A 7,875-nucleotide genomic window follows, 5' to 3' on the forward strand; every position below is an offset into this window, starting at 1 on the left:
TTCATTCCCCGAAAGCTTCACTTCTGAATTATTCTGCATAAATATTGCTCTTCTTATAAGCTTCCCTGTCCCCTGGAGAGAAGTGAAATGGAAAGCCAATGAGAGGGAGTTAAGGCATATTGGATAACATAACAAATTCTCAAAAGTTAAAACCTTACGGTGCAATCCACATGGTTGCTGGTGTTTCCCCAGTCATTTTCTCACTAAATGTTGGACAATAACATTGAAACTACCCTAGGAAGTGGATCAGACTGCATTCAGCCTCCAGCCAGCATTAAAACACCCATGCTTGGAAGGCTTGATTGCTATTGAGGGCCCTGGAATGACATGAATCCTTGCTGTTGTGGCACCATTTGTTGGTAAAAATGAAATTCTATGTTCACCATTTTAAGTGAGGAGGTAACATAAATTACGGTTGGCTCTCCTTATCCTTGGGTTCTGCATCCTCAGAGTCAACCAATGTTGGGTGAATAAAAGCAAAAACAGTAAATATAATATAGCAATAAAAGTAATATGAAATTTAAAAACCAATACAGTATAACAACTATAACAACTATTTACAGAGCATTTACACTGTTTTACGTATTAGAAGTAATCTAATATATTTTTATTAGATATATATTTTTTCTTTTTTTTCTTGTTTAGAGACAGGCTCTTGTTCTGTCACCCAGACTGGAATGCAGTGGTATGCTCAAAACCCTTGGCTCGAGTGGGCTCGAGTGATCCTCCTGCCTTAGTCTTCCAAGTTGCTGGGACTACAGGTGCATGCCACCATACCTGGCTATTTTTTTTTTTTCATTTATTTCACTTTTTATAAAGACAAGGTCTTGTTATGTTGCACAGGCTGGTCTCAAACCCCTGATCCCAAGCAATCCTCCCACCTCAGCCTCCCAGAGTGTTAGAATTACAGGCGTGAGCCATAATGCCCAGCCTAAACACGATTTAAAGTATACTGGAGGATGTACATAGGTTGTTTGCAAATACATATTGATGTGTAGGATTAGGCATTAAAATTTGCCTCAAGCATATGCTAGGTCTATACTCAGTTATTCTAGAGAAAGGGGAGATAGAACAGCTATATTTAATTAAAAAAAAAAAAGAGTAGTGTCATTGGAGAGGTTAGAAATCTGACTTTGGTATCCTAAGGAGTCCTCCAATGAATCCCCCAGGATACCCTGGGACAACTGTATATACCATTGACAGCTTTATTTGACTGGATATGGTTAGCAAGGTAATTACTTTATATTCGTGGCATTTAAGTCCATGTCTTTTCTTGTTTGAATATAATGATTGAAATAATTTTTAGTGTTTAGTGCTTGTGGGAGAAATTCTCACTTATTCAAGACTCAGTAACTGAGATTCAATTGCTCTGTTCGTAAGTGACTGAGTTGAAAAGAAAAAAAAAGAAACTACAAAACTCTTGTAGAATAATACATGTGGAAAAAAAAGCCACCTCATATAAATATAGCTAACTGTACTTGCAATGTCACTCATCAAAAAGGCATTTTAGTGCTTACAGAAGCTACATTTCAGTCTAATACTAATTTTTCAAACTTGAAAACTTTCTCAAATCCATAAAGACAACTCAGTGGGCTATAAACTCAACATGTTTTCAAAACTCATAGTTATTTACCCCTTACTGCAAAGAGACTGAAGTTGTTCAGGGAAATATTTAACTTTGGTATTGTTTATAAACAATGTGACAAATGCCTGTCTGCCTTTCTTTGTATTCCAAGGGCAGGGAGAGAACCTTCACCATTTAAAGTGTCTTCTTCCTCGCTTACCTGTTTTCTCACCCATGCTTCCTTAGTGTGTGTGTTTTTGAATTTTATGTATTTCTTATTTTATAGGACACTGCCACACCCCTACAACACTTTAGGTAAGAACATTTTGAAAGAAATGTGAATCTATGGATTCAAATCTTTTTAGATAAAAGTTTCTATGGGTTCATTAATCGATTATTTCTATCTTTGAAAATTTTCTTATCTAAATTGTTACTAGGGGTGTTGCCCTTCTCCAGCTGTGACTGCTGGGGAAAAATTTTCAAGAGTCCCTCCTTTCTCCCCAAACAGAAATTGCAGTTGTTGATTCAGACTAAATTTTAAAAAATTTTGATTCTTTGTGCCAATGCAATTTATATAAAAATGACTTAAAGTCTTTCAAGTTGTATAGAGCTTGCAATATTCTATAACAGTCACACTGACTTTTCTCTAGTTTGAAATCCCATTGATTTAAAGATAAATTTAATCTGTAGGTTAAATTTTTGAGGCATTCACACGTCTTGCTATAAGCTGTGTTTAAGGAACAACGTCATGGTCAAAAAGCTACTGATTTTTTTTTTTTTCAAATCTAAGTCTTCAAAGGAAATATGTCCTGACCCAAATGAATCTCCTCGGCCCTTTTGTGGAGTCTTGTGATACCTACACATGGTCAGATTGTTTGAGGAATCATGTAATTGGAGGGAACAAATTTGTACCTCACTTTTCAGCTTTAACTAGACAAGTAATTTAGTACAGCACATAAAGCAATGGCTAAGGAAAAGACGTTTCTCTAAATAATGTAAACAAATGTCTAATTAGAAAGCTGATGTTTTAGGCTAGATTTTCATCAAAGTTCACTAAATAATCATACAGAGGATTATGGAAAATTTGAGGGTCAATAATATAATTTCATACATTTTTGATGTAGTTCTACATATTTTAAGTATTCTTGAAATTTGTATTAGTAGGGAAATATCAGTCAAGAGTCATGTCTCCCTAAAAGGCTAAAGCTATATCTACCTTCAAAGATTGACAGATGAGACTTGAGGGCAATCAGTAAAAAGGTAAAATCTAGAAGGCATTGTTTCTCTTGAACTCCTGGCCTCAAGTGATCCACCTGCCTCAGCCTCCCAAAGTGCTGGGATTACAGGTGTGAGCCACCGTGCCCAGCAAGGCATTGCTTCTGAAACACTAGTATACATAGCCATCACTTCAGTGGCTTCTCTAAAATGTAGATCGCTGGGTTCTAACCAGTGGATCTTACACAGTGAATCTCGACTAGAGCCCAGGAACTTGGAATTTTTAATTAGTTTCCCAGATGATCCTGATAAACATGACTTATAGACTACTCTTCAGAGAAAATTCTCTAAGGTAAGAATAATTTGTACTGGAACTTTCCAGAATAAATATGACAGAAACACATGTCAGGCTTTTACTAAATAGATATACTAAGGTGTGTATATATACATATGTGTATATATATACACACACACATATATACACTCACGCATATACATATATATACATATATGTGTGTATGTGTATGTGTGCGTATATATATATAATGTCTATTGAAAGAATAAATGATGGAAGAAATACAAGAAAGAAGTTTCATCCCATTTATATTCTTAACAATGCGTCCACTGTCTAGTCCTGTTTATATCGTTAACAATGTGCCCATTGCCTTCATCCTTACTGTAGGGCACATGAGGGAGGCAGAGTTACCTCCTTCCATCTCTAAGATGCTGATGCCTAGTTATCTTCCAGAATAGATAAGCCCTGACAAACAGTGGATAGAATACATTTCCTCGCAAGCTTTATTTCTCACCAAGTCTACTTTGGTTCTTAGAATGATGGTTTTAATTCAAGTCTCCTGGTTTTAAAAACGATTCCTGTTTACAGACATCTGATAGTACCTTAAGCTCCCGACATTGGAAAGTTCTGCTTATTTGAACTGCAAAGGGAAGGCAGAATAGATGCCATGATTATTAGAGCCTTGGGTAATTCATGGTGGGCAATATCCTGACACCTACTTTAGCTGACTGTGATCTAAACATGGAAAGTCCTAAATATGCCTATGTAAATTCCAGGGAGCTGCTAAACTGTTTCTAGCGGTCCTGGTAGGCATTCATCTGAGACATTTTGTAGAGTGTCTGTAAGGCAAAGCATTTCTTCACTGGGTATGCATTTCCTATTTTGATGATCTCAGAGATGTTCTCATCAGAAAATTAACAGTGAATTACAGAGTAAATATTGTTGGGAACCATTCTTCCTCTGCCTTTCTACTTTCCTCTTGTGGAGAAGAGTGAGCAGATGAAAAGGTAGTCCAGGATTGTCTTGTGCGTCCTTCTACATCCCCAGAGAAAACAGGGCACTGAGTATCCCCACTTTGTGCCCGCAGGTTCTATGGAGCCTTGAAGTTCTCGGGAGCTTGTATCAAATGAATAAAGCTGAAGGAAGAGGGGAGAACAGGAACTGAAATGGATTTTACAGAAGGGAAGGGTTTATCATGCATTGAATGATGGTTGTGGCTTGATTCTCCCCAAGGATGTATGTTGTGTTGTTTCTGCATCAGCCAAGGCCATGACTCTGACTTCTGTCCTTCAGTTTGTTCTTCATAAGTCTGGCCAAGAGAAGGTAAAAAGAGACACTAAAGGACCTTGGTATCTGCAATTCTCATAAACCTGGCAGGAAAAGGAAATTTTAAAGAAATATTATATCTGGTTCAAAGTTACCCGTCAAGTCTGTGTCAGATCTTGGAGTAAAAAAACTAAAAAACTTTTGCTTCTCAGATCAAGACTCTAGCTATCAAAAATTCTCATGACCCTGTGAACTCAATGAGAGAATTCAATAGAAACTCTAGTTCTCATTCAGAAGACCATTTAACAGAGGTACACACTAGAAATTTTAATAGTTGAAAACTGTTGTATCTTGGATTGAAAAATTGATTTACAGTAGATTTTAATGCTCCCAGCAAAAGATTTTTGGCATTTTATATCCTACTGTTTGTCACTTTTTTGGTACTGACACAACCATAAATCTTGATTATAGCTTCATTTCAAGTTAATATAGACTCTGTACATGTAATCTTCAACTCCTTTTTCTTCTGAAAATTGAGAACGTATTAAAACTAACCTTAAAATTTCTGTAAAGCAAAAATATCAAAAGTAATCATAATGATATATCCTGTGTGATGAACCATGAAATATTAAAAGATAATAACCAGATTTGTGGAAGGCACACTATATATAAAGAAATATGTGGCTCCATGCAAGATTGACCATTATATTTCCAGTTAACATGCCTTCATATATTCTTTTTCTACTGTGTAAGAAAGTACTATTTTTTATTTAACTTTTTATTCTGAGATAATTGTAGTCACATACAATTCTAAGAAATAATACAGAAAGTTACTATGTATGTTTTACCCATTTCTCATAATGTAACATCTTGTAAAACTGTAGTACAGTGTGATAACCAGGATATTGCCAATGATATAATCAAGATGCAAAACATTTTCATCACCACAAGGATTCCCCACATTGACCTTTTTCAGCTGCACCCATCTTTCTCCTGCCTACTCTCACCCCTTAAACACAGGAAATCACTAGTCTCTTCTCCATTTCTATCATTTTGTCATTTCAAGAACGTTATATAAATGGAATCATACAGGAATTAGCCTTTTGAAACTGGCTTTTTTCACTGGGATAATTTTTGGGAAATTCATACAGATTGCTTAGTGTATCCATAGTTTATTCTATTTTATTACTGAATAGTATTCCATGATAAGGATGTCAATCAGAATGTTTAAGTATTCACTCACTGAAGGGTGTTTGGACTGTGTCCGATTTTTGGCTCTTGTAAATAAAGCTGCTATTATCATTCATATACAGGTTTTGATTTCTCTGGGCTAAATTACCAGGACTGCAAATATTTGGTCATCTGGTAGTCGCATGTTTAATTTTTGAAGAAACTGTCAAACTGTTTTCCACAGTGGGTGAACCATACTACATTCCTACCAGCAATGTATGAGTATCCAGTTTCTTTTTACTTCTAGTGTGATTAGGAGTTTACAATCCCCACTAGGCTCCACTGATACTTCCCTTGCTGGTAAGGATAGCAGTGCCTTATTACTGCTCCCTACATGGTCTCTGCTGACTAGGGGGGGACATGGGATGGAGTGGGGTGATCTGATTACCATTAGATGGTGGTGAAAGTTTATCAGGCCTCCTCTGATACCACCCCAGTGGGGAGAGGGATAGACATCTCATTGCTGCCAGGCAGGGGTGGAAGTTCAGGATCTCCATTCAACCTTATCTGATACCTCTCTAGCAGGAAAACTGGGATGCCTCACTATAGAACTTCAGCTCTGTACTTGGCCTCTTCTGATATGGATGCAGATTGGGACATAGTTTTCTGTGGTGTCTGGCTAGAGTAGGACAGTTATTGTCAAAGTTTTCATGTCTTGCTAGGCTGTCCTTTTCCTGGTCCTTTGGCTTGAACAAATAAGTTTTCATTGGGACTTTTTGTTTTTGGTCTGTGGCTGTTGACCTTACTGCTTGATATGGTTTGGCTGTGTCCCCACCCAAATCTCATCTTGAATTGTAGCTCACACAATTTCCATGTGTTATAGGAGGGACCTGGTGGGAGGTAATTGAATCATAGGGGCTGGTCTTTCCCATGCTGTTCTTGTGATAGTGAATAAGTCTCACAAGATCTTGATGGTTTCATAAGGGGGAGTTTCCCTGCACAAGCTTTCTCTTTGCATGCTGCCATCCATGTAAGACATGACCTGCTCCTCCTTGCCTTCCACCATGATTGTGAGGCTTCGCCAACCATGTAGAAGTGTGAGTCCGTTAAACCTCTTTCTTTTGTAAATTGCCCAGTCTCGGGTATGTCTTTATCAGCAGCATGAAAACAGACTAATACACTGAGTTTCTGGCTTTTTCAACCCATCTCTGGGTATATGCAGCAAAAAGAAACCCCATAGAACTCACCACTGTAACTTTCCATGTGTTCTCAAGATCTCTAGGCAGAAAACAGCAGAGAGGATAGCCTCTTTCCAACTTTCAGAGTTTTCTTATGTTTGTTTTCTATATAGGATATACGGCTATTAGTTGTACTTTGCAGGAGGCATAAGGAAAATTGCATCTACTCCATTTTCCTATCAGTGGAAGTCCTCATACATTTTTAACAAACATATTAGTTCAACTTTCTATAAGATCGTCAAGTAATTAGCTTGATTCCTTCATTCACCCAATCAAAAAGCATTTATTGAGTTTCAAGTCTGTACCAGGTACTAGACTAAGTAACAGAATACAAAAATAAGTAAGATGCAGTCCAGGCCTCGTGAAGTTCACAGTCCAATAGATCATCAAGAAATACCAAAACACCAAACCAAATTAAACCAAACCAACAAAAACCAATTACAAGAACATAATAACAATAGTCATAGTGATATGCTCAAGACGTCATTTTTGGTAAGATGTCCTCTCAAAACTCTAAACTCCCACCCTGTGTCCCTTATATTCCAGCAGTCCTGGAATGATGTGATACATGGCAAAGGCAAGTTCAATGGATATTTTTTAGACCTCTTATCGGAATATTAAATGGAAAAAATTAACATAATAATGGCATTACAATTTTAAGTCAGATTATGGCATATGGAAGCTAAAAATGCTCCTTGCTGGCAACGTTTCAATCTCTGGAAAAACCTTTAAGTCATTAAAGGTAGTTGACAAGTATTTCTGGTCTGACTTTCCCCTAGTTTCTTTTTTGTGCTCTCCGATGCAATGTTTCTGGCTTTCTTGTCTCCTCCCAGGCGGCAGATGTGGGCATCACTGTTTGCCCTTAGTGATCCTCGAGCACATACTTGTGAATTTGGTTTTTAGAGTGTTCGGAAATTGATGACATATATTATCAGAAGAGGTGGTGAAGCAAAAATACTGTAGTTGTTAAATCTCTGAGTTTCTTTCTTTTTTTTTTTTTGTTTTACTTTTCTCTGAAGATAACCCCGTATGATTTCCTCCAGCCCTACCCTGTTCCTTCAGCACTTTCCCATTCCTATTCAATATCCATCTTTTTCTTTCATGCTGTCTTTTGTAGTCATGAACCA

Source organism: Homo sapiens, chromosome 5, assembly GCF_000001405.40.
Source record: "Homo sapiens chromosome 5, GRCh38.p14 Primary Assembly".
In the NCBI taxonomy this organism is placed as follows: domain Eukaryota; kingdom Metazoa; phylum Chordata; class Mammalia; order Primates; family Hominidae; genus Homo; species Homo sapiens.